Source organism: Homo sapiens, chromosome 4, assembly GCF_000001405.40.
Source record: "Homo sapiens chromosome 4, GRCh38.p14 Primary Assembly".
NCBI classification, from domain to species: Eukaryota; Metazoa; Chordata; class Mammalia; order Primates; family Hominidae; genus Homo; species Homo sapiens.
In genome coordinates this window covers 4525270-4550807 of record NC_000004.12, presented here as the reverse complement: position 1 = coordinate 4550807, position 25538 = coordinate 4525270, and the positions used below count along the sequence as shown (strand labels likewise).

Here is a 25538-nt window from a genome sequence, read left to right as displayed (position 1 = left end):
CAAAGCCATTCAACAAATCTCTAGGGAGTTCCAAACTTACCCAAATTTTCCTGTCTTCTTCTGAGCCCTTCAAACTGTTCCAATCTCTGCCTGTTACCCAGTTCCAAAGTCACTTCCAAATTTTCGGGTATCTTTTCAGCAATGCCCCACTCTACTGATCCCAATTTACTGTATTAGTCTGTTTTCATGCTGTTGATAAAGACATACCCAAGACTGGGAAGAAAAAGAGGTTTAATTGGACTTACAGTTCCACATGGCTGGGGAGGCCTCAGAATCATGGCGGGAGGTGAAAAGGACTTCTTACATGGCAGCAGCAAGAGAAAATGAGGAAGAAGCAAAAGTGGAAACCCCTGATAAACCCATTAGATCTCATGAGACTTATTCACTATCATGAGAATAGCACAGGAAAGACCAGCCCCTATGATTCAATTACCTCCTCCTAGGTCCATCCCACAACATGTGGGAATTCTGGGAGATACAATTGAAGTTGAGATCTGAATGAGGACACAGCCAAACCATATCAACGGGTATCTCATATATTAATAAATGTAGGATTTGAGTGGGGCTGGTGTTCAGCCGTAGGAACAGAGAAGCAGAGAAAACTGACTTGAGGAGATGATAATGACGATGAGGAAGAGAGAGGAAGAAAGAGACAGTTCTGGCAGCGTTCTGGTTTTTAGCTTCCCTCTGAGGTAATGTATGAGTCTGCAGAACACAGTCCTCAGCCAGGTCACTGCGTCCCACTGGCTCAGGTTAAAGGGTGAAGGCAAAAGAGCAAACGTCCCCAACTGGTAGATCGCTTCAACCAACTGAAAAATGCAGACTGGCCGATGTTGCCCCAAAACCAGATGACTAAGGCTGCTTCCATTGGAGAGGTGTGAAAAAGAAATCCCTACTCACAGAAATCAGGAGCGGTTAATAGGGTTTGTCTGCATTTTTCAGACAGAGGCTCAGAGAGGTGAAGTAACTTGCCCAGAGTCACACAGCTAGTGAGTAGGGTAGCTGAATTCAAACCCAAGTCTTTCCATTTCTGAATCTCAGGTTGTAGTGGTGTTGTGTTTTTGTTTCCTATTAGTCATCCTCTGTTAACTACTTCCTGGACTTCTGGAAAGAACTCAGAGATCTGATAAATATCCCTTAGGTACCCTATAAAAATTCCATGGGTATTACAATACTCCAGGCTACCATTGTCCAGAGAGGAAAAAAGTCAATGTGTGATATAGTTGAGGCTGGTCTAGGCTTACAGTGTGCAGAGGCCTACAGGCCAAAGACAGGATGGGGGCTACCAGGGCAGTGGTGTCCCCTTCTCTCTTCTGAGGGCTTTTGTTCGCTAGTGCCCACCTCCAAGTAGCTCTGGGAGTGGACACCAGTGACAATGGATGCTCAGCTGCCCTCTGGCCTCCATCTTTGCCTGCTGGCTGGGCTTGCGATTCCCACCCAAATTGTGACTCTTGGCTTCAAGGATATTTGTGGAGCCCAAAGACCATGCTGCATGGTCAGAGTAAGGGGATGCTGACAGGGTGGTCTTAATTCAGGGTGGTCTTAGTTCTGAGAGATCACTGCCTCCAAAGCCGGACTCTTGGGCTGTGCCACACTGTGTGCACATCACACTGAGCCCCCCTGCACTTGCTGGGCTTTGTATTCCTGAAGACTAACTTGGAGCAAGAGACAATTGTAGTCTTCTTGGGGGCTAGAAGGGAGGAGTGGGAGTCATCCCCAAGGCCATTGCTGATGGCAGGAAACACCACAAACTGAGAACCAGTTAGTTTTCAACCCTTGTGTCTCACCACACACACACACACACACACACACACACACACACACACCCTTGTCTTCCCATGTGAAAATCAACAAAAGGACACGTCTTCCTTAATTTCCTAAGTCAAGCTCCTCATGGTGATTTCCTGAAATATGACAGGTAGAAGTTCAAACCACAGGTAATGCCCCATCAACTTTGCTTTTTCTAACCTGCCCTCTTGAAATTTAGTCACATGGACTCAGGATGACAAAAGAAGAATCCTTGACATCTGTTTTGTCCCTGTGCTGACTCTCATTATCCAGTGGCTCCTAATCTTGAAGTTCTGGAGGCAACTTATTGTTCACTATCCCTGGGACTGACTTGGCTATGTGGGCAACTGTCCCCTTCCTCTCTCTGCACTTACTTGAACTGCTCATAATAGAATGGGCTTTCTTTTATTCATTTTTGAGACAGAGTCTTGCGTGTCACCCAGGATGGAGTGCAGTAGCATGATCTCGGCTCAACTGCAACCTCTGCTTCCCAGGTTCAAGTGACATGGCTCAGCCTCCTGAGTAGCTGGGACTACAGGCGTGCATCACCATGCCTGCCCGCTAATTTTTGTATTTTTAGTAGAGACGGGATCTCGCGATGTTGGCCAGACTGGTCTTGAATGCCTGACCTCTGGTGATCCACCCGCCTTGGCCTCCCAAAGTGCTGGGATTACAGGCGTGAGCCACCGCGTCTGGCAGAATGGTCTTTCTAGACTGAGAAGGGCAACTCTTTGGGTGCAGACACTCCAGATGCCACAGCCACTGCCAGAACTGTCACACAAGCTCTCTCCTATCTTTTGCATTCGAATAGCTCCTAAATAGAGAAGTTGGAAACAAGAGTTGAGTATGTCTGCCTTCTCTGAGTCACACAGGGAGAGTGAAATATCTGTTGCATGGACACCCTTTCTGCTGCACATTTGATGAAAAGAGCCCACTTTGGTGTGCTTTTTGGCTAGATCCAGTTCATTCTGGCCTCTAGTTTTCCTTGTGGGACAGGGGGCCTGGTCAGTTGTGACTCTCCAAGGGGAGATCAAAGAAGAGATGGGGAAGGAAAGAAGAGCACCAGGCTAGGCAGCCGCAGGACTTATCAACCACAAGAAAGGTACAGACCCAGTGAAGCTGAAGGCGGCTTACCTGCAGAGCTGAGAACCCAAACAGGGGCTGAGGGCCACACCCAGGAAGTAGAGGATAGGTAATGGAGGAAGGATGGGCAGGGAAAAGAGTTAGGGTACACGTTAATTTCCTATGGTTGCAGTAACAAATGACCACAAGCTTTGTGATTTAACAGAAATTTGTTTCTTACAGTCCTGGAGGACAAAAGTCCAAAATCAAGATGCTGGCAGGGCCACGCTCCCTTCAGAGACTCTAGGGGAGAATACTTCCTTGCTTCCTCTGGTTTCTGGTGGCCATCAGCATTCATGGGCCTGTGGCTGTATCTCTCCAGTATCTGCCTCTGTCTTCACATGGCCTTCCATTCTGTGTGCCTCTTTTAAAGATATTTGCTATTGGATTTAGGGGTCACCAGGATAATCCAAAATCATTTCTTCATTTCAAGGTCTTTAATTTAACTCTATCTGGAAAGACTTCTTTTCCTAGTAAGGTCAGATTCATGGGTTCTAGGGATCAGGATGTGGACATATCTTTTGGGGGGCCAACATTTGGCTCATTACAGGGTGGGAGGAGACACAAAGTAGGATGAAACAAGCCAGTAGGCTAGAGCAACGGGCTCAGGATCTAGAACAAGAATCAGGTAGGAATGAGGTGGTGGCAGCCCCTCCTTTAGGTACTCTCTGTGTATGAGTCCATTTTCACACTGCTATAAAAATACTACCCGAGACTGGGTAATTTATAAAGGAAAGAGGCTTAATTGACTCACAGTTCTGCATGGCTGAGGAGGCCTCAGGAAACTTATAATCATGGCAGAAGGCAAAGGGGAAGCAGGAACCTTCTTCACACAGCAGCAGGAAAGAGAGAGTGAAGGGGGAAGAGCCCCTTATGAAACCATCAAATTTCATGAGAACTCACTCACTATCATGAGAACAGCATGGAGGAAACTGCCCCCATGATCCAATCACCTCCCACCAGGTCCCTCTCCTGACACATGGGGATACAATTCTGATCACAATTTGAGATGAGATTTGGGTGGAGTCACAGCCAAACCATATTACTTCAATGGGCGGTGGGGGGACAAAGGCCACACCTCAAAGGGCTGGACCACAACAACCTCCTGTTTGCTTCCTGCCTTTCCCTCGCTTTTTTTTGCACATCTGTTTCAAAGCTAAACTTCTGGGGGAGCTGCCGGAAGAAACCCACCTTGGGCCGAGTTCAGTGGCTCATGCCTGTAATTCCAGCACTTTGGGAGGCCGAGGTGGGTGGATCACCTGAGGTCAGGAGTTCGAGGCCAGCCTGGCCAACACGGTGAAACCCCATCTCTACTAAAAATACACACCCCCCAAAAAATTAGCTGGGCATGGTGGAGGACGTCTGTAATCCTAGCTACTTGGGAGGCTGAAGAAGGAGAATTGCTTGAACCCAGAAGGTGGAGGTTGCAGTGAGCTGAGATCACGCCATTGCACTCTAGCCTGGGCAACAAGAGCAAAACTCCATCTCAAAAATAAAAAAATAAAAAAAAAGAAAGAAAGAAAAAAAAAAGAAAAAAAAAAACAAGAGAAATCCACCCTGAATTCTTTATCTAGGTTCCCTCTTGGGAACAAAAGCTTCTTCTTTGAGCTTCCCACCCCTAGAGTCAGGGTCCTTTCCAGAGTCCCTGAGGGGGGAAAAATGGTTTTCAATGAATTTCATTGAGTTTACCTCCTAACGTGAAGGTATATGTTTTTGAAGGCCTTTCCTCTTGTGTTATAAATTCTACCCTGCCATGGTCACAGTCTTCCAAGGTTTCTGCCACTCTGTCCCTGCCAGCCTGGTCTTTTCCATTGGTTAGGTTTAGGCACAACTGTTCTTTCCTCTCCATGCTTCATTCACTGAGGAATAATACTGTTACGATGGTGAGTGGAGAATACATCTAATATTCCTGTTTTGGTAGATACCTAGATATGGGTTGTCATCAATCAGGACAGGCTAATTATGCTGCAGTTAACAAACACCCACAAATCTGTGGACAATTCTCAATCTTAGTACATGTCTGTGATGGTTAATATTGAGTGTCAACTTGACTGAAGGATGCAAAGTATTGTTCCTGGGTGTGTCTGTGAGGGTGTTGCCAAAGGAGATTAACGTTTGAGTCAGTGAACTGGGAAAGGCAGACCCACTCTCAATCTAGGTGGGTACAATCTAATCAGCTGCCAGCATGGCCAGAAGAAAAGCAGGCAGAAGAACATGGAAAGACTAGACTGGCTTAGTCTTCTGGCCTACATCTTTCTCCCGTGCTGGATGCTTCCTGCCCTGGAACATCAGACTCCAAGTTCTTCAGCTTTGGGACTTGGACTGTCTCTCCTTGCTCCTCAGCTTGCAGATGGCCTATTGTGGGACCTCACCTTGTGATCATGTGAGTCAATACTCCTTAATAAGCTCCCCTTTATATATACACCTATCCTATTAGTTCTGTCCCTCTAGAGAACTCTGACTAATACAATGTCCTTGGTTGGCTATGCTCCATGTCATCTTTACTTAAGGACTCAGGCTGATGGAACATTGGAACATTAAGGGTTGTCATAGCAGAGGGAAAAGAGCATCGTGAATCATACATTAGCTCTTAAATTTGCTGCCCAGAAATTACACGTTGGTTTTCACTGGCAGCCTACATCTAGTCTCCTTGCATAGGTGTTGCTGCTGTAGTGAGCTATATTTAGGGGTGCCAATACAGTTGATCCTTGATGACTCCTCCACCCCTCACAGTTGGAAATTTGTGTATAACTTCTGACTCCCTAACATCTTAACTAATAATAGCCTACTGTTGACCAGAATCCTTATCAATAACATAAACAGTCCGTTAACACATATTTTGCATGTCATATGTATTAGATACTGTATTCTTTCAATAAAGTAAGCTAGAGAAAAGAAAATGGTATTAAGAAAATCATAGGAAGAGAAAATATATTTACTATCCATTAAATGGAAGTGGATCATCATAAAGTAAAGGTCTTCATACTCACCATCATCACATCGAGTAGGCTGAGGAGCAGGAGGGGTGGGTCTTGCTGTCTTAGGGATGGCAGAGGCAGAAGGAAGTCCGAGTATTAGTGGCCGCATGCAGTTCAAGCCTGTGCTGTTCAAAAGTCGACTGCGTATTTTTCAGAACAGTGTCTGGCCCACTCAATGTTTGCTGAATGCATAAAGAAAACAAAATTTGTATACTACATCCAACTGGGCAGTTGTGTGCTACCTCCAACAGGCCAGGCATGGTGGCACGCGCCTATAGTCCCAGATACTCAGGAGGCTGAGCCGGGAGGATTGTTTGAGCCCTGGAGTTGCAGTAGTATACTCTCACAACATTTCTGCACATCCTTTTAACCCACATCCCCTCTCAGCTTTATGGGGCTTAATATTAGTCAACTGTCAACTGAAGTCACTTTGCTCTTTTAAATTAAAGAGTAAACACAAAATGTAAAAAGCACAACCCCATATCCCATGGTCTGTGGAAAGTTCAGCAGCCTCCTCAAGATCTTTGTGACTTATTTAGGAATTTTATGTACTTGTGGTCACTTGTGGATTTACAGCCTGATGTTTTGAGCTCACTTGGGTCTTATATCCACCACAATCTTCTCTGCTCTTGCAAATCCAGACAGAAAACTTAGATCTTTGTCCCTACCCTTCTACCCAAAATATCCAACTGCACCAAACACACGGTTTACACAAGGCACCACTCACTGAAGGCTTGGTGTAGTTCAGCCTCCCTCCCACTCAAAGATCCTTCCCAGTTACCTACTTTGTACTTTCCCGGCCCCCTCCCTGGGTTCTGGCTTCTCTTTTCTTCCCCCCAATTCAATCCCCCTCACTTTATTATGCAGGGCAATCTCTCTTTCCTTCTACTCTACCCCAGGCTTAACTTTGCATGGCCAAAAACTGATTAATGTCTGGATTAAACAAAGGGCCATTTATGCAAGATAGAATCATTGGCAGAGATTTTGTAATTTCTTTCTCTTTTCCTCAGTAGGTGGAAGAAAGCTGTATGGAAATTTATTTTCCTTAAACTGCAAGAAGTGGCTACAGTTTGGGTTTAAATAATCTTTTCCTGGCCGGGCGCGGTGGCTCACGCCTGTAATCCCAGCATTTTGGGAGGCTGAGGCAGGCGGATCACGAGGTCAGGAGATCGAGACCATCCTGGCTAACACGGTGAAACCCCATCTCTACTAAAAATACAAAAGAATTAGCCAGGCGTGGCGGTGGGCGCCTGTAGTCCCAGCTACTCGGGAGACTGAGGCAGGAGAATGGCGTGAACCCGGGAGGCGGAGCTTGCTCCAGCCTGGGCGACAGAGCAAGACTCCGCCTCAAAGAAAAAAAAAATCTTTTCCTTCCTCCTTTCTGGTAAATATATACTTTCTTGACATCTATTTCTGATAAACTTTATTTTTTTAACACAGTGGTTCTCAAACTTTTGGTCTCAACTCTTTTGCACACTTAAAAATTATTAAGGGCTCTAAACAATTTTGGTTTATATTGACATTATCGACATTTACTATATGAGAAATCAAAACAAAAACTTGATGTTTTTGAAAGTCTTTTTTTGGAGTCTGGCTTAATAGAAAACAGCTGTTCTGCATTTACTCCGTTGCAATATCACAGTCTCCAGCAAACTCAACTGTATGCAACTCATAAGAAAATCAGAGCGAAAAGGCAAATAACATCTTAGTATTGTGAAAATTTTATCTTGATGACCATTAAAACTGCTGTTTTAATACATATTCTACTTGTGCTTCCTCTTTATGAAAAAAGAAATCTTGAAGAAATCAATGAGATTTTGAATTAAAACTGAACCATAGGCCAGGCACGGTTGCACGTGCCTATAGTCCCAGCTACTCAGGAGGCTGAGTCCGGGAGGATCGTTTGAGCCCTGGCGTTCCAGCTGTAGTGAGCTAGGATGGCGCCTCTGACTAGCCACTGCAATCCAGCCTGGGCAACATAGTAGACCCCCGTCTCAAAAAACAACACAAAACAGAACATGAACCTAAAATGCAGAAGAAACTCATTGATTGAGTTGTCAATTTTAATAGCTATGGCTCAAGACGGTACAATTAAAAACTATGCATGAAGGATGAAGAGAATCCAGCGGCATTAGGGCCACTCTTTCACCTTTGTCTCCATCTAAACTTCCTATTCATCCTTCAAATCTCTGCACAGGTGACGCCTTTTCTCTAAAGCCTCTTCCTTTACCACAAATAACAGTGATTATAATAATAACATTATTAACGATTACTACCATTTATTGGCCACTTACTAGGAGCCAAGCAACATCAAAACACAGCACGCGTCAGCTCACTTAATTTTCACAGTAAACCCCGAGGAGGATGCTGGCTTCACTTTAAAAAGAGGTGACTGAAGGTTGGAGAAGAAAGGCCTCTGGCCTCTAGCTCTGTGCCTTGCACACCTGATCTGTCTCAGCATTTATTGCATCCCGAGGGTCACCGTCCACGTGCCTCTATCCTGCTCAAGGTGAGTTCTTGCAGTCAAAGGTCAAGGGTGGCTCGTCTCCACTTCCCCCGCAACCAAACCGCCCGGTCTCAGTGAGGGAGCCGCCAGAAGGGAAGGAGCCTCCTAGCTTCCCGGTCCTCACGCTCCCGGAGCCCACACGCCCCAAACAGACACAGAAGAGCTCGCTGAGCTCTCCGCGCAGCTAAACCCTCCAAGCTTTGCTGGGAGAAACCGATGCCCGAGAGCGCGTCGCGAGGTTCCTCCTCCGCCAGGTGCGCCGGCTGAGGCCGGAACCTTTTTCCTCCCGCCGCGGTAGCAGGGCGCAGGCCGGAACCTTTCTTCTCGCGTCGCCGTTGCCGGGGGGAGGCGTGTGGGGCAGGACCAGTCCTTCAGCGGCCGGGTTCGCGCCGCGGTCGCCGGCTGCTTACGTGGGCGGGCCTAGTGTGGGGCTGAGGGTGCGGGTCGCTATGGCGGTGGACATCACGCTGCTATTCCGGGCCAGCGTCAAGACCGTGAAGACGCGGAACAAGGCGCTGGGAGTGGCGGTGGGCGGCGGGGTCGATGGCAGCCGGGACGAGCTGTTCCGCCGGAGCCCCCGGCCCAAGGGCGACTTCTCCAGCCGGGCCCGCGAAGTGGTGAGCTGGTTGCTATGGAAACGGCGGGTTGAGGAGGGGGCAGTCCTGCGACAGGGACCCCGGGCCCCAAACCAGACCCCGTCCCGTAAGCATTGTGTGAAGGGGGTGGCTCTAAGGGGGACAGAAGAGTTGGCCTCAGAGACCCTACAGCTTTTTGGGGGAAGGAACAGCCTTATTTTGAGGAAGGGGGACGCATATTGGGGAACAGATTTCTCCTGCGGCGACAGGGATTGGGGGACAAGAAAGGAGATCCTCAGAAATCTCTATCTGGAAAGTGCATGGGCGGCTTTGTGAGGTCATGAGTTCGCCGTCACTACAGACTTGCACTCAGGGGAAACCTCCTGACAGTCCTTCGCTTCCTGTTGCAGCACTGACCACACCATATTTGCCTGTTCTATTTACTTGTCTGCCTCCCACCCCTAGTTGAGATTAAAAACTGTATTCAGCCGAACTCTTTCTTCCCTTTGTCTCTGCAATAAGTAGGACTCAGTTCCTCTTGAGACGGGTTTAGGGTAATCTTTCGCAAACACAGTGTTACAGTCACCTCAACTACTTTCTGTTCCCTGATCAGAGCAGGTGTCCCTTCATCTCCCTGGGAACAGGAACCTTTTCCTTAAGGGCAGGGACAGTGTTGTTTTCATCTCAGAATGCATGACTCATAGCATTGCTTAGTAAATGTTTGTTGAATGAGTGAATGAACAAATGGCTGTCTTTCCCATTAAACAGAAAACTCCATAAGGGGAGAGCTGTTTGTCTTGTTCCCTTTTGTGTTCGTGACACCAAGGAGGTATCTAGGTTTTGTGGGGCCTACAGCTTATATAGTTCTGTCTGCCCTCTTCAAGAAATAAAAATCACCAAGAAAGATTCAGAGCTTTGGAAGATTGAAGAGAGGGACCCTAAAGCTTAAGCCTCATTAATTTCACAGTAAATCCTTCTCTGCTTGGCATACACTTGGCACTGTATAGACACTCAGATATTTTTGAATGAATGTAGTCATGCATGCATTAATGACAGTTAGCAGAGGATACTTAAACATTAGAAAGGGGATTGGACCAGATGAATACACTCGCCCTATTGATGACCGTCTATGAAGCACCTACCTTCTGACCAGCCTCGTGTTAGAGTAATATGATGTAAAAGCAGTGGTGGAGTAGACGGACATAGACATAAAACAAGTGCCATAAAGCCTTGCAGGTGTTGTGTAGGGCACAAAAAGAATGTGGTCAGTTCTACCTGAGGACCAGAAAAGGCTTTATAGAGGCGATGATGCCTAAAACAAATCTTGAAAGAGGATTAGTTGGTTCCAGTGCAGAAGGACATCTCAGGCTAAGAGAATAGTATGCGCTAAGCTGTGGAGGTAGGTAACAGTCTGACATAAGTTGGTTCAATAAACATTTGAGTGAGACTGGAATGTGGGACTCTCATAAAAATTGGACGCGGAGATCTTAAAGGGCTTTGTGTATCATTGCAGAGTTTGAATTTTGCCCTGTAGATGGTCAGATGTTATCTGGTAGAGAAAGCACCAGAGAAGGAGCCAAGAGACGAGGTTGTTGTCTGAACCCTGCAACTATTAGCTATATGATTTCATTAAGCAAGTTTTAAGACCTCAGTTTATTTACCTGTAAATGGTCCTTTTTTTCTCCTCCTCCTTTTAAAAAACTACCTTGGTCCTCTATATGTAACAAATTAAAGTGGGAGCTTCCTAGGTTGAAATAAGAGGAAGAGAAACAGGACACTCTCCCTCCCAGTTTGGCCCAAGCACTTCTTGAGATTCCTTTTGTAGAACTGTGGTATGAATATCACAGTATTGGCTTTTTAAGGGTCCCTTCTAACTCTGAAACCACTGATTTATTAACACTGTGCTAATTTTGAGTCCTGCTCAGGGAAAGGGGGGATTTGGGAATGGTAGAGACAGGAGGCACAGTTGGGTTGGCAAGCCCTTTGGAGAGCCCTGTGATCACTTCCACCTCTCCCTGAGTGGTGAAAATGTGTTTGAGTTTTGAGTTAATGGGCCTCAGGGACAGTAACAGTCCCATAGGGTGCTGAGTTCCCTGTCACTGGAAGTGATTAAACAGAGTGATGACTGCTTTTCAGAGATGTTTGAGAAAAGCTTTGTGCATATGTCACAGGGTTGGACCGCATGACAATGCAACTTGCAGTTCTGCTATGTATTGATGTGAGTAGGTGTCACATCACCTTAAGTGAGTTCATGGGCTGTGTTGTTCAGGGACACTGTCCCCCTGACGTAGAGGAAACATACATTCTTTTAAGCAATTTTGATTTTATGTTGTCATTGCTTTGTGTATTATCTCCTGTTCTTGCAACCGTTCCCCACTCCCCATCTTCTCTTGTGGGAAGTTTAACTAGAAGAGCTAGTGATGGATGTCCTGTGCTTTTACTACAATTAGATGTCAAAAGTTTGGCTGTTATTTTGTTTGGCCTGGATTCCTTATAGAGAAAAGTCTGGTAAATACCAGAAGCACATATTCTAATTCAGGTTTAGCCCTGGTTGTCAGACTTAATGAAATGTAATAAGTTATAGTATGCCTTTTGGTAAGTGCCTTCCTTGAAGCATTTGCTGTTACTTCTAGGATGCGTTTTATCTGGTTCAATTTCTATTCTTCCATTCCATTCCTCAAATATATGCCTGATGCCAGATTTCCATCTCACTGAATTGTTGTAGAGGTTATATTAAGTTGAATAAAATTGCATTGAAACTGCAATTTTATTGCAGTCCCTACCTTCCAACAACAGGCTGATTGCTTCTGCATCATTCTTTTAAACATTTAACTTTTATGCTCAATTTTACTAAATTTATATATACTCAAATGCATGTCTACCCATTAAATTACAAATGGAGAGTAACGACTTTTCAGATTATTTGGGGGAGGAACTTATATTATTCGAACAACTCCAAATAATAATGAATATGTCACTCTGCAATGGGAATTTGATTAGTTAACTCATTTGAAGTGTGGGACTAGTGAGGATGATGGGATTGGAAAGAGACCTGGGCCTTGGGTTCAAATCTCGCTTCTGCTACTTAGAAATGGGTGAACTTGGGCAAGTCTGACTCTCGTTTTCCATTTCTATAAAGTGGACGTGATAATACCCTACTTAACTCACAAGCTAAGTAGGGTAGCTTCTGAGTTACCCTACTCACATAGTCTATATGTATGTATTTTAAAAAAACAGACTGATTATTATTGTTCCCCCAAACTACCTCCCCCCTCCTCATGTAGGCCATTTAGACATATTTTCTTTAGTGGCACCAAGCTGTATTTTCCAAACCACTTAGTTTTCTTGCACTTTCATTCCTTAATTTAGTTAAGTGCGTGAGGAATGAGTGAAAATCCTGAGCAGGTACTGATGAATCAGCGGTGGTGCAGAAGTACTGTCTGCATTCGTAAAAGATGGTAACATTTCTTTGCCAAGGTGAAACTCTTTCAGTGATGGCAGATGTGTGGCAGGTATGCAGCTTTTACTTTCTTTTCTTCCTTGTGATCATGGAAGCCAGTGCTAATTTCTTAGTGGATCCCTATAGCTCAGAATCCTTTGCAACATTGTACCCCAGGAGCCGTTACCTGTTATTAGGCTTGACATTCAAGTTGAAATCTACTTGACATATAGTAACAGTAGAATCTGTATGCTTAAAGCAGACCCATGTTTGTTTGTTTGTGGTTTTTTTTTTTTTCACTCAAAAGGACCTTGTGTTCATTTTGTTAATAGATAAGAAAACTAACACCCAAATAAATGAAATTACTTGCCCAAAGTCGTAGCAGTTGAGGTCATAGCACAGAGCCATAAGTAGAAGCCAGGTCCTTTGACCTGGTTTAATGCTGCTCTCCCTCTGCCCACTACATTCTCCTGTAATTTTTAAACCAGAATTTGTTTGGTTTCTGAATGGCAGTGAGTTTCTTCTTCTTGAGTTAATTCTGAATACTGCATACTGAATGGAACCTGGGGCAGAAAGACTTGGATTTGAATGTGTCTTATCTGTTATATGAACTTGGGGAAGCCACTTAATTTCAGTTACCTTATGGCTAAAATAGAGTGAGTAATAGCAACCTTATAAAGTTGTTAGGTGAAATAAGAAAAGGTATGCAGGTGCCTACATGAGTCCGAGTTCTTTTGTTTGCAAGTAATAGTAACCTAATGTAAATTAACCTGAACAAAGTGGGAATACCTTAGCTCATATAACTGGAAAATTCAGGGATAGAGCTTCTTTCTCTAGCTCTTATCCATAAAGCCCAGGAAGGAAATCTAGTTGGTTCTGCTTGATCCTCTGCTCTCTCTTACAGTAGTCATTATAGCCAGAGGAATGTTTCTTTAATTGGTCAGGTCTATGTCCACCTCAATCTGTGGTTAATAGGTGGCTTGGATGCTATGTAGCCCCCACCAGAATCATGGAAAAGGCAGTGCCCTGTCTGGGAATAGGGAGTAAGGAATGTTGGGCAAGCAAAAGCAACAAAAACATCCCTCACAGTGCCTGGGACAGTGCCTGATGTGCCTTCACCTTGCCTGCCTGGCTGTCTTCAACTCTGTGGGGAATGAGAAACTAGAAAATGCAGGAGTTTATAATGACAGGTTCTGGGGTGAGGATAGGCCTAGAGATGCCTCATAGTGGCAGCTCTTCTATTCTCTTACTGACTTATAAAGGTTACAGGAGCCAGGGGGGGCTACCACACAGGTAAGCAAGAAACCCGTAAGCACCGAACTGCTGTGCAGAGGCAGCAGGGGCTACTGAAGAGCACCGCACAGGAAAGCAGGAACCCATGTTCTAGCCGCAGGTCTGCCAGTAAGTGGGCTGCTCATGTGATTTCTCTGGGCCTCAGTTTCCACATTAGTAAAACTGAAAGCTTCGATTAGATAACTGCAGAGATTTCTTGTAGAATAAGGACACTTTGATTCTAAATAAGGTAATAATGATCCTGAATTGCTGGGAACTCTATTTTCAGATTAGGCATGCAGATGAGATTTTGTTCTTGATAATACATTCTTTTGTGGAAGCTAAACTTCGTTTTTTATTTACTTATTTTTAGGAATTGATTATCTTGAATCTTTGGCTGAAATTCAGAGTTCTTGGAGTGGCCCAAAGCCAGATGATCTGGCCCTGCTCCCTCTCTGGCCTCACCTCCTCTCCCCCTCCTTTTGCTCACTCTACTCCAGCTATTCTGGCCTCTTTCATTTTCTCACATGCATCAGGCACATTTCCCGCTTAGAACCTTTGCATCCCTCTACCTGGAACACTTTTCTCCTAGATTCCATATGGCTTGATCTCTCAGTTCCTCAGGTCTCTGGTTAAATGTTGCCTCCGTGAGGCCTTCCTTGAATGCCCTGCGTAAAGTGGCCTCCTTTTTCTGTCCCTTCCCCTAGCAGATCATATATCCATTTATTTGTTGTTTGTCTACTCGAATATATGTTTTCTGAAAATGAAGAACTTTGTGTTGTTAGCACTGAATCTGTAGCTTCTAGAACAGTGTGGGGATGCAGGTGCTTAATAAATACTTCTTGAATTAATGAATAACTGTTAATCTACTGTCTCTCTCAGTTTTGGGGCTAGGTGATCTCTGTCCAAGGCTCATTGCAGTTCTAAAGCTCTGTGATACTCACATGATTCTTGAATATTACATGATGCACATTTATACTTAGTCCGGTATTAAGAGTAAACATTCAGTAAATAGTAGCTTTTATTACTAAGATTCCGTTCCTCCCTCAACACATTTACATTCTAGTGGAAAAGCAGACACAGGTAGCACAACAACTCAGGTATGAGTAACAACTGTAACTTTTTTAGCATTGATTCCCCAGGTCCTCCTTGATTTCCTTTTCAGAGGCAGTGTTGACTTTCTGTGCCAGTGTTGGGACCCAAAGGTTGAGCTGGGACCACCTGGATTATAAATTTTACCTAAGGGTTGAGTATAATCATAGTTAGGGGATTTCAGTTGAGGGAGCATGATTCAAAGAAGCAGTATCATGCAACAGGTACAGTGAGTCCATGAGAGGCAGGAAGGACAGGAGATAGGGCCAAACCATACAGAAGTAGGATTGGGAAACAATGGAGGTTTAGAATGCAAGCTGTGAACAGAGCATGAGTGTGCTGAATCATATAGATTTCTTTTTAAATATGGCAGGAACCTTTTAGCTAATGAAATAAGGAGCAGCTTTGGTAAAAGCTGGAGTGAGAGGTTTGGGGAGAGAGGTTCATTCGCCAGCCTACTACCCTTCTGTTACCTTCCCCCTCTCCTTGAGGAACCCCTAGGAACCAACCAGAGGGCCCAGAGACACACAGTTTAAAAACCACTGCTTTAATGCTCTCCAGGGCCTGTTTTAGCTTCATGATGCTGTGTTTTTATGGATTGCAATAACTGAGTGTGTACTATAAGGAGAGCTCAGCACTGCAGAGTTTTCATGAGATTGTGAGTCCTTTGTGTGGATTACACTTCTGAATTTTGCCCAAGACTTAGGAGGACTGTAAGTTTTGAAATGTATTTATTCAATAATTGATTTATACCATCATCCAATAAACACTGAACATCTGGTGTGTCAGGCATTGTGGGGCCATAAAAAAACTATGAGGCATATTAACCTGTTCTTTGAAAAGATAGATAAAGGATACCTAAATCTCTTTAGGGGAGAATCAGTGGAAACCTCAAAGTGATCATCAAACTTGGCTTTTAAGGAGAAAAACCATTCCACCAGACGTAGGTAGAAGGGATGGGTGTGAGCAAAGGCAGTGGCACACAACAGTAGGGCAGTTTGGGGCCAGAGGCAAGACTGGTGTGACTAGAGCCCTTTTCTGGAGGAGGCCCGGGTGAGGGTCAGAGTGTCAGGGGGTGAGGTTGTACTGAAGTAGGTTAGAGCAGGGGTCCACAAACTGGCCCACAGGCCAAATCCGGCCCACTGCCTAGTTGTGTAAATAAAGTTTTATTGGAATATGTCATTTTCATTTGTTTAAATATAGGCCAAGAATGCTTTCATGCTGTAGCAGCAGAGCGATAGCCTGCAGAGGCCTGCAAAACTTAAAATATTTACTGTATGACCCTTTAGAGAAAAAGTTTGCCAACTCTTAGATGAGAGCGTTGTTAGCAGTGCTGAGGAGTTTGTACTTTATGCTCTGGGCTATGCGGCAGAGGCACGAAAGGATCATGTTTGTATTTTAAACTAATCCGCAGTGTTGATGATGGGTTTGGAATGTAACAAGACTGACATGGAGAGCTAAGCAGGATGCTGTTGCAGTAATTCAGGTGAAACTGAGGAGCCGGTGACAGTAGGGTTGGATGGGAGAAAAATAGATGAAGTAGGTATTTAGTATTTAGTAGGTAGGCTCAACAAACTTAGTAAAACTTAGTAACTAATTAGTGGAAATAGAAAGAGGAGGAGGTAGAATAATTTCCAGCTTTCTGGTTGAAAAGTTAAATGGTAGAAGATTACAATAACAGAGTTTTCAGGGTTAGAGTTGAGTGCCAGTTATTCATGCCTTCTTCTTAATTCTAAATAGTAGAGAATAGATCCAAGGAGCCCATGGACACTGGAGTTTTATTAAGACAGCATGTGGTGGATAACTCCCCAGCAGCAGTGCTTACTGATAAACCTGGATTGAGGAACTCAATGGGGTCCTTCAGCTTTGCCACATTTAGACCTTGGAGACAGTTGAGTACAAAATAGATACCCAGTGCCTATGTACCTATGCCCAGCCAGTTGCATGGAGATTGAGACCTGTCTCAGCAATACGGCCATCACTAGGCTGGGACTTATGGTGGCGAGAAGTACAAGGAGGTAGAAACTTAGGATGGCCCGTGTGGATGCCAGGTTCTCTCCTGTTATTCTCAGTTCTGCTTTCTTTATTCTTGAATGAAACTCATCTTGGGGTTAATGATTATATCACATGTTGTAGAAGCATGATTCTCAGGGATAGTTGATTCATTTTCTCCTGCATTCCATGAAGAATCTGGAGTGTGTCAAAGAGTTCCCTCTTTCCTCACTTTTGAGTTGGCAGTTGACCAATTATTATGTGTCTCACCTACTAGGGTAGGGCTGCAGAAACACGTCTTCTCAGTGTGACGTTTTTAGTGAATTCTTCCCATCAGGGGCTGGCTTCATTTTGGAGGCCCAAGAACCAGATTTTTCTACATATTGAGGCTAGAGCCATCTGTTAGGGCAGATATCAGCCAAGCTCACGTCAACTTGTGTGTAAGTCAGAATACCAGTTAATTTGTTGTAAGCACTGTAACTAATGTGCAGAAGAATACAGATTTTGGAAACTCAGTCATTTTTGAGCTTCTGCTATAGGTCAGGAACTCGGTTAAGGACTTTATGTGCCCGATCTCATTTAATTTTTCTCTTTTTCAGGGGATAGAAATATATTATTGAGTGATTTTATAATATTGATTGTATTATGAATAATGTGGTTGTTGAATTCATGTAAACTTGATGTTTGACGTCTCTTACTACATGGAAATCCACATGGACTCCCTCTGGTGGGTAAAGTATCAGTGAAGTCTACACATGTTAATTATGGCTTATGGTATGAAAACCATTTTATGTTTAAAGCGTATTACATTTAATATTGACTTAAAAAGAGGCAACTTCAAAACTCCTCTAAAAGAAAGTGAATAAACCAGAGGAATGAAAGTATGATATATTGAATGAACCCAATAACTCAGATATGGAAAGCTTGCAGCACAGTTGAAATTTTAAACCCGGCAATACTTTTTTCTTTGTTACAGACTTTCAGATCCTCAAAGACTATGAATACTAAAGTTTGCCAGCTTCTACTTATCACCATCTAACATATGTCTGTTTGTCAAAATGTTCTTACCATGGAATTTGTAAGCTGTATTTAACCAAGAGAGAGACACTTCCATTTCACAATATTGTAACATTTCTATCTAATTTGTAGTCAAATGATAAGAAAACTCTGGTGAAATGAACACTTGCCTTTTCTTGGACATTTTCTCCAGCAGTGAATTCTATAGTCTTAGCAGAAGTAACAGGCTACAGCATATCTTAACTCAGAGGAATTGAGAAAGGAATTAAAAAGTGTACGTTTCGAATTGTAAATACTTTTGGCCTTTGCCAATAGCTTACTATGTGATCTTGGAGAACTCACCTAACCTCTCTGGGTGTCACTCTTCTGATTTTTTTAATGAGAGGTTTTGACTAGATAATCCATAAGGACCTTTTCAATGAGATGGTTGCATGACTCAGTACTCTTTATCTGAAAGTCCCAGGATGTATTTTTAAATACTTTTTGCAGTGATAACTGCCCATTACCTTGTGATATTTTCCCTGAGTCTCTGAAAGAGTGAGGTTTTTTTTTTGTTTTGGTTTGTTGTTGTTGTTGTTGTTTTCAAAGTTAGCATTTTTGGTGTGTTTTCACAAATGTATTTGATTTAAAAGTGGTGATATAATTTTATAATGGAATTTTATTAGCAGGGCACATTTTTGAAGTTGACTATTTTAAAATCTGATTATAAAATTAGTAAGTGCTCATTAAACAGAATAAAGAAGAAAATAGTTCACATTTAGTACCAGTGTCAGGAAATAGCCATAGTTAAAATTCTGGTGTTTAACTTTCCAAACATTTTTTCTGTTAAATAAAATCAAGATTCTTCTACAATACGGTTATGTAATCCCTCTCCATATGCCCTCCCCTCTTCCTTGGGGGAGTAGAGAGGGGTTACATAACAGTATTGTAGAAAACAATGTATTTTGGAAATTTTTAAATATCAGTATGTATTGCTCTTACCACCAGTTTATTTGGCTGCATAGCTATTAAAAATAGTAATAAATAATTGATTTATCTGAACCCCTGTTGAAAGCTATTTAGGCTGCTTCTAGTTTATTAGTATTTTAAGCAAACAGTATATTTTTACCAAATTTGTTTCAAATTTATCATAGCCTCTTAAAAAGACAAAAAATGTAGTTTGTTTTTTGTTTAATCTTTTCTCAAATGTAAAAAATTGAATGTTCTAGTATTGATAAAAGGAAAATTATTGCTATATTATTTGAAAGTATTAAATGTTTTAGGACTTATTACCAGTTCTGGATGAGTATAGAAAAAGGCATGTAATTAGAGGCAGTCTACTTAGGAAAGCTTTGACCTGGGAGCAGATCCTTGAAGAGCAAGTCAAGTGGATGGATGGTGAACATGAGCCTGGTGTGCTCAGTGACAGTAAGGAAACCAGCGTAACAAGGCCAGTGGGGGCTTCTTACTCAGCAGTGTGAAACGGGGAGGTGCTGTGGCCTGATTACAGAGGCCTCGAGAGCCATTGTATAACATTAGTGGGCAAACATCAATGGCGATCCTATATTTAATTAATAACCATTTAGAATATAACGAAACATTTATAGTAGCAACAAAAAGAGTTTCTAGTAATAACCTTAAAAAGAAATGTAAATGACCTAGTTGAAGCAAACTGCAAAATTTTGTAGACAGATACAGAAGATTTGGATAAATAGAAACACGTATTGTGTACCTGGAAGTGAAGAAAAAGTGTTGTCAACACAGCAATTATTACTTTAATGCTCACTTTGGCAGCATATATACCAAAACATTTTACACCAAAAAATAATATATGCATATATGAATTTTTTAGTGAAACCCATTAGTCCAGGGTGTGTGTGTGTGTGTGTGTGTGTAAATTTTATCCATGCCAAAGGATGTGTTGTAAATCAGTAAGAAAAGGAAGATTTATTCAGTGATTGGCGGTAATTGGTTAGCACTTTGGGAAAAAAATAAATTTTTAGTTCCTTGTTTCATACATACATTAAAATAAATTTCTAGATGGACTAAAGATTTAACTGTAAAAACAAAACTGAAGAAAATGAAGATGAATGTTGACATACTTTGTAGAAGTGGGAAGTCTTTCTGAGTTTTAAAAGTTTGACCGGGTATGGTGGCTCATGCCTGTAATCCCAGTACTTTGGGAGGCTGAGGTGGGTGGATCGCTTGAGCTTAGGAATTCAAGACCAGCCTGGGCAACATGGCAAAATCTCATCGCTATAAAAAAATACAAAAATTAGCCTGCCGCTTTGGCACACACCTGTAATCTCAGCTACCCGGGAGGCTGAGGTGGGAGGATTGCTTGAACCCGGGAAGCAGAGGTTGCAGTGATCCAAGATTGTGCTATTGCACTCCAGCTAGGAAAAACAAAACAAAACAAAGTTTGCAGCAGCAGTGTTTCTTTTCTTTTCTTTTTTTCACAAAGCCTTAGAAATGTTCACAGAACAGCAGCAGCCTTAATAATACAATAATAATGATTTTGATGATGATGGTGATGGCAGCTGTCACAAGTACCTTACATAGAGACACTACAGCATTATTCCCAAGTATAGAGAAATTGTTAGGTAAATGTGACATACTGAAGAGTATGTCATGACATGAGAATTATATATTATTATATATAATTAATATATGCTTATATTATTATGTTAGCTTAAAAAAATAACTACCCAAACCAATTACAATTAAAACTATGTATGCAAACCCAAAAAACTCTAGGCATGGAAATGACTGGAAGGGAACTCACCAAAATGTTAACCATGGCTTTTTCTGAGTGATGGGACTTGGGTGATTTATTTTTCTGCTTCTATCATCCAGAATTTCTTTAATGAGCACATTTACTTTTGAAATGAAAAGCAAAACAGAACAAGTAAAACTCCTGGCAGATGAGTTTTTATTTGCTGTGGTAGGAAATGGAGAATTAATAGCTTTTGATTAGAAAAATGTTATGAGCAAGCAATATCTAATTCTATATTAAATGTGCAGTGGAGGGGTGGGGGCTATTTAAAGGAAGTCTGTGGTAAAATCTTTTGTAAAGGGAGTAATTTTCCTGTAACTCAGCTGGATTTCCAATCCAGACTTTCTTAATCTATATGAGAAAATCATCCACAAATGTTGCATTGATGTCTTAGTTTCTGGTTGTTATTCTAAAGCATAATAAATGATAATAATGGCTACCACTTGTTGAGCACCTACTGTACCTGGCCCTGTGGTAAAAGCTTTATAATTTATTTGACTATCCTTTCAAGTTAGGCTCCTTTATTCATGAAGAAACCGAGGTTCAGAAGGGTAAGCTATCTCCCAAGATGACGTCCCTGGTGCTGTGAGATGAGTAGTCCTGGCACGTGTGTGCTGTGCTTCTCCGGTTGCCTGCTGCCTCCCCAGCTCTTGGGCATGCACAGGTGTCCTGTGGCAAGTGTGTCCCAGGCTGGGAACTGTGCTCCACTTGGCATTCCACAGACCACGCCTCTGGGGATTTGCTCTTTAGTATGTTATCACATCATCTGCTGTCTTTAGGAGCATATTTTGGTGCATACATTATATATTTGAAAGTGCTTGACTAACTTTTGGGGAAATATGGCTGCTTCCAAACCAACCTTTTTCTTTTAATCAACAATTACCTTGTGACCGTGCATTTCTTTTCTTTCTTTTTTTTGAGACGGAGTCTCGCCCAGGCTGGAGTGCAGTGGCGCGATCTTGATTCACTGCAAGCTCCGCCTCCCTGGTTCACTCCATTCTCGTGCCTCAGCCTCCTGAGCAGCTGGGACTACAGGCACCAGCCACCATTCCCGGCTAATTTGTGTATTTTTAGTAGAGACAGGGTTTCACCGTGTTAGCCAGGATAGTCTCGATCTCCTGACCTCGTGATCCGCCCGTCTCAGCCTCCGAAAGTGCTGGGATTACAGGTGTGAGCCACCATACCTGGCCAACCATGCGTTTCTTAAAGATAAGTGTTGTGGTTTGCTTTTGGGGAAAAGAGAAAAGGATTTGTGGTTTTAGTTAGTAAAATCATTGAGAGGGAAGGAGACCCAATTTATGGATTATAGACATTTGAAAAAAAATTGTAATTCCCTTTTCTGTTGTTGGGATACCAGTTTTTGATTTTATTTGTTCATTAAATGGTCAGTTCCGTGGAGATCTCTGGAGCTGAGATGGCTTTTTAGAATTGCCCAATTGAGGCAAAGGGCCAGGGCTTTTTAACCACTGCATTGGCCAGCCATTGTCTGTGGGCTTCTCCCAGGGAAGGGCCCTAGTGTTGGGTGAGGCACCTTCCTGCTGCTTGAGACACACTCGGCTGTGAGCCAGCAGCAGGCAGTTCTCCTAGTACCTGGGGGCCTCAATCCGAAAGATGCAGTTTAGCCACACAACCTGTATTAGTTCATTTTTTGCATTGCCATAAAGGAATACCTGGAGCTGGGTAATTTATAACGAAAAGAGGTTAATTTTGGCTTATGATTCTGCAGACTGTACGAGAAGCATGGCATCGGCATCTGCTTTTGTGAAGCCTCAGGAAGCTCACAATCATGGCAGGAGGTGAAGGGGGAGCAAGAGTGTCACATGGTGAGAGAGAACAAGAAGAGAGAAGGGGGAGGTCCCAGACTCTTTTAAACAAGCAGATCTTGTGTGAACTGAGCAAGAATTCACTTATCACCAAGGGGACAGCGCTAAGCCATTCATGAGGGATCAACCCTCATGATCCAACACCTCCCAGCAGGCCCCCCCTCCAATATTGGGGATCACATCAAGAGGCTGATCTTTATGGGCTGCATAGTGGGGTTTCCTTGCCCCCTGGCTTCTGATAGGGGTCAACTAATGGGAGGCTCCAGCAGGAGATGGGAAGGCTGGAAAAGAGGAGTTGGCTTGGGAACTGGGTAGAAGCTTTGCATCCACAGCCCATGACTCAGGTTAGGTGTCTGCCCACCAGCTCTAGAATTTTTCCGCTGTGTAAGTCTAGCATCCTGGGGGTTAGGATGATTTAGCCAGTAGGCTAGTACCAGCCAGCAATGGACAAGGCAGCATTGCAGCCTCACTCAGGGTGACCCTGAAAGACAGTGGCTAAGGGATGTCTTCCCCATGCCCAGAACTTGGGCCAAATCATCACTGCCTTTTAATTTAAGGTAGTTTTTAATATATATATATATGTGTGTGTGTGTGTGTATATATATATAAAGACATATATATATAAAATTATATATATATAAAAACATATATATATATAAAATTATATATATATAATTTTTTTCTCTATCTTTCTTCCTTAGGCTCAGCATTACAGTGGGAAAAGTCAAGTATTTTAGGCTCACACAGATTTTTCTCTCAGTGACGTGGCAGTTCATACTTTCCCTCCAAATATGACCTGGTAAATGACTCTGTGGCATGTTGACTGCAAATCTGAACTGAAATGGAATCTGTAACCCATTATCAGATCCTGAATCAAGCTGCCTTGTCCTTCTCCAGTTTTTGTTTCAGTGGAAATGTGTGTTTTTATTCTGTCAATGGACAGTTTACATACCTAATATTAAAAGGGAATTATATAATGAACACTTGATGTAAAAGAGACTAGTTAAATACTTCAACTCCAAAAGTTTCCATTAAAGTAATAAGGAAATTACATTTAATTTTAACTGGTAGAAAGTTTTAAAAAATGTTATTGCTATTAAGCATTTATTACCCACACTCAACCCTTTTTTTGTGAGTGAATTCCCAAAGCACAATTCATCTTTATACAGGTAGAAAGGAAATATTCTTGCAAAATATGTAGTTTGATGTCATCTTAACTGTGGAGAGAAGCATATTTTTCCAAAGAATAGAATGTGATGGTTGATTGGAAACTTTTGGAGTTACAGGCTAGCTCTACCTCTTGAAATAAGAAAATATATATAAATAGGTCCCCAGATGAAGGCGTCGTGGGGTACTTTACAGCCCCAATTGGCTCCAGACACAGAGGCAGTGATTTGTAAGCAAGCAATGACAAGAGGAAGTTAAATCAAAATTAAATTAAGAGAAGGAAGAAAAAGAAGAGCTATCAAGGAGAGGTGATGAATTTCCTGAAAGCTTCTAAATACCTATCTGTGGGTAAATGATTGAAAATCTGTGAATATATCTCACTTATGTCAAAAGATGAAATCTGGAAACATTTCAGTCCTAAAAAAATACCTTACTTGTTATCTTTGAAGCCTTTTTTTATTTTTTCAATTTTTTTTTTGGAGATAGAGTCTCACTATGTTGCCCAGGCTGACCTCAAACTCTTGGGCTCAAGCGTCCTCCTGCCTCAGCCTTCTGAGTAGCTGGGATTATGCATGTACACCACCATGCCTGGCTTCAGAAGTCTTTTCAAATATTCATTACTTGGTACAGTTCAACCAGTACAAGCATATTTGCTTCTATACTTTCCCGTTGACTCAACTGCGATAAAATCAGCATCTTCCATGGTGCACATGAAGTCGTATATTGGGAGGATTGGTTTTCCTGTTTACATTTTGACGTTTTGTTGTTGTTCCAGCTTGTGTAAATAAAAATTTAGGAATTCGAACTCACCAGAGAGCTCCTCCACCCTGACTGCCATTTTTGCAGTTACATCTGTCATTCTCCCTTTTCCTGTCCTCTATCCAGTTAATTACCAAGCCCAAGAAGATAGACACTGTGTTCCACTCCCCTCACAGCACAGAGCACAGTTCAGTACATAGTATTTGGAAATCAATTAAGTGAATAAGCACCTGCACTTTCTCTCCGTCTCATCCATTCTGCTGCTACCATAGGAGTTCAGACTCCTACCATCTTGTGCCTGAGCTGACACAGTAACGGTGAGCCCTCAGTCCCTCTCCAAGCTAAGCCACTGCACGGAAGATGTTGCTTTCATCATTACTTTGGCTCAGAAGCGCTCAGTACCGCTCATTCTCCACGCAAAGATTCTCAGATATTTGGTCTTTATAAAGCTAGCCTACCCACCTCCAGTGTTAAACCCCACACTTCCCCCATCATCCCACCAGTTTTCACCATGCTGCTCTGTTAGCAGTCCCCTCAGCTTCTTGCCTCCTTCCTTGGCTCCTGCTATTTCTCTTGCCTGGACTGCTTGCTCTCCTTCACTTTCTCAAATTCCATTGATCTTGAAAGGCACATTCTAGCCTATACTAGTCTCCTCTTGAATTGAAAGCATTTGCTGCCTGTATTCTTACTATGGAAATATGTATGGCTTGTGACATCCCTTGCCTTATTATTTTGTGTTTTTATCTAGTAATAACATTGTCACTTAACCTTTCAGCTGCGATTGTGTTATCTCTCAAATGATATTGTTTATTTGTGGGCTTATATTGGGCACAGGGGATGGAAAAGGAGAGAGCAGGACTCTATTTTCATGCTTCTTTGTATTTAGCACAGTGGCTCTTGTACCCAGTAATACAGCCTTTAGACAGAACAGACACCATATCTTCTTGGTCTTTGTATTCCTAGTGCCTTGCAGAGCATCTGGCCCATAGTAGGGATTCATACATGGCATTTGAATAAATGAACAGAAGGCACACCTCAAATATTTGTTTAGTAGTTTTACCCCCAAACTAAATGAATCAACACAGGTAATTTTCCATCTTTTAAAAGCCATAAAAATCCAGTTTTCCATTTAGTTTTTTTCATCATTAACAGTTCTCCCTCAAGCACTTCTCCTTTGCCTGCCTTGAGCTTCATACTGAAATTTAAATCAATTTCCTCTCATTCTTTTCCCTGTGAAATTGGAGAACAGCTGT

The 25538-nt window shown here is 42.7% G+C and overlaps 2 protein-coding genes and 2 long non-coding RNA genes across 14 annotated transcripts in view, besides 3 other annotated features; 2 read left to right on the top strand and 2 right to left on the bottom strand.

Annotated features, from left to right (window-relative positions):
* LOC124900165 (uncharacterized) overlaps window positions 1–8677 on the bottom strand; it is a 230445-nt gene extending 221768 nt beyond the window's left edge. For 5 of the 8 annotated variants that reach the window (XM_047416487.1, XM_047416491.1, XM_047416485.1 and 2 more), the window contains exons 1-2: window positions 8183–8667; window positions 5901–6070 (exon numbers count right to left, since the gene is read on the bottom strand). The gene's annotated coding sequence lies outside the window, so the exon portion shown is untranslated. Of the gene's footprint in view, window positions 1–5900; window positions 6071–8182 lie in introns of all 8 variants that reach the window. The other 3 variants (XM_047416490.1, XM_047416488.1, XM_047416489.1) reach the window with 1 other exon arrangement.
* Window positions 1–8677, bottom strand: part of STX18-AS1 (STX18 antisense RNA 1 (head to head)) — a 168808-nt gene extending 160131 nt beyond the window's left edge. The window contains exons 1-2 of the long non-coding RNA NR_037888.1: window positions 8333–8677; window positions 5901–6070 (exon numbers count right to left, since the gene is read on the bottom strand). This is a non-coding gene — a long non-coding RNA (STX18 antisense RNA 1 (head to head)). The remainder of the gene's footprint in view (window positions 1–5900; window positions 6071–8332) is intronic.
* STX18 (syntaxin 18) overlaps window positions 8465–25538 on the top strand; it is a 123376-nt gene continuing 106302 nt past the window's right edge. For 3 of the 4 annotated variants that reach the window (NR_144414.2, NM_016930.4, NM_001346281.2), the window contains exon 1: window positions 8760–9011. Coding sequence is in view for 2 of the 4 variants with exons in the window: in NM_016930.4 (NP_058626.1) it covers window positions 8844–9011 (168 nt within the window). In the remaining 2 variants the exon portion in view is untranslated. Of the gene's footprint in view, window positions 8649–8759; window positions 9012–25538 lie in introns of those variants that run through there. The other variant, NM_001346282.2, reaches the window with a different exon arrangement.
* Window positions 8592–8886: an enhancer, noted in NCBI's record as "tiled region #11878; HepG2 Activating DNase unmatched - State 1:Tss, and K562 Activating DNase matched - State 1:Tss". NCBI's record gives its function as "activates a minimal TATA promoter and a strong SV40 promoter by Sharpr-MPRA in HepG2 and K562 cells {active_cell/tissue: HepG2 | K562}" and the evidence as "EXISTENCE:reporter gene assay evidence [ECO:0000049][PMID:27701403]".
* Window positions 8592–8890: a biological region, named in NCBI's record as "Sharpr-MPRA regulatory region 11878".
* Window positions 8611–8890: an enhancer, noted in NCBI's record as "active region_21230". NCBI's record gives its function as "activates an Ori minimal core promoter by ATAC-STARR-seq in GM12878 lymphoblastoid cells {active_cell/tissue: GM12878}" and the evidence as "EXISTENCE:reporter gene assay evidence [ECO:0000049][PMID:35858748]".
* Window positions 21665–24340, top strand: LOC107986254 (uncharacterized). The gene is made up of 2 exons (XR_001741564.2): window positions 21665–22359; window positions 23061–24340. It is a non-coding gene; the product is annotated as an uncharacterized LOC107986254 (long non-coding RNA).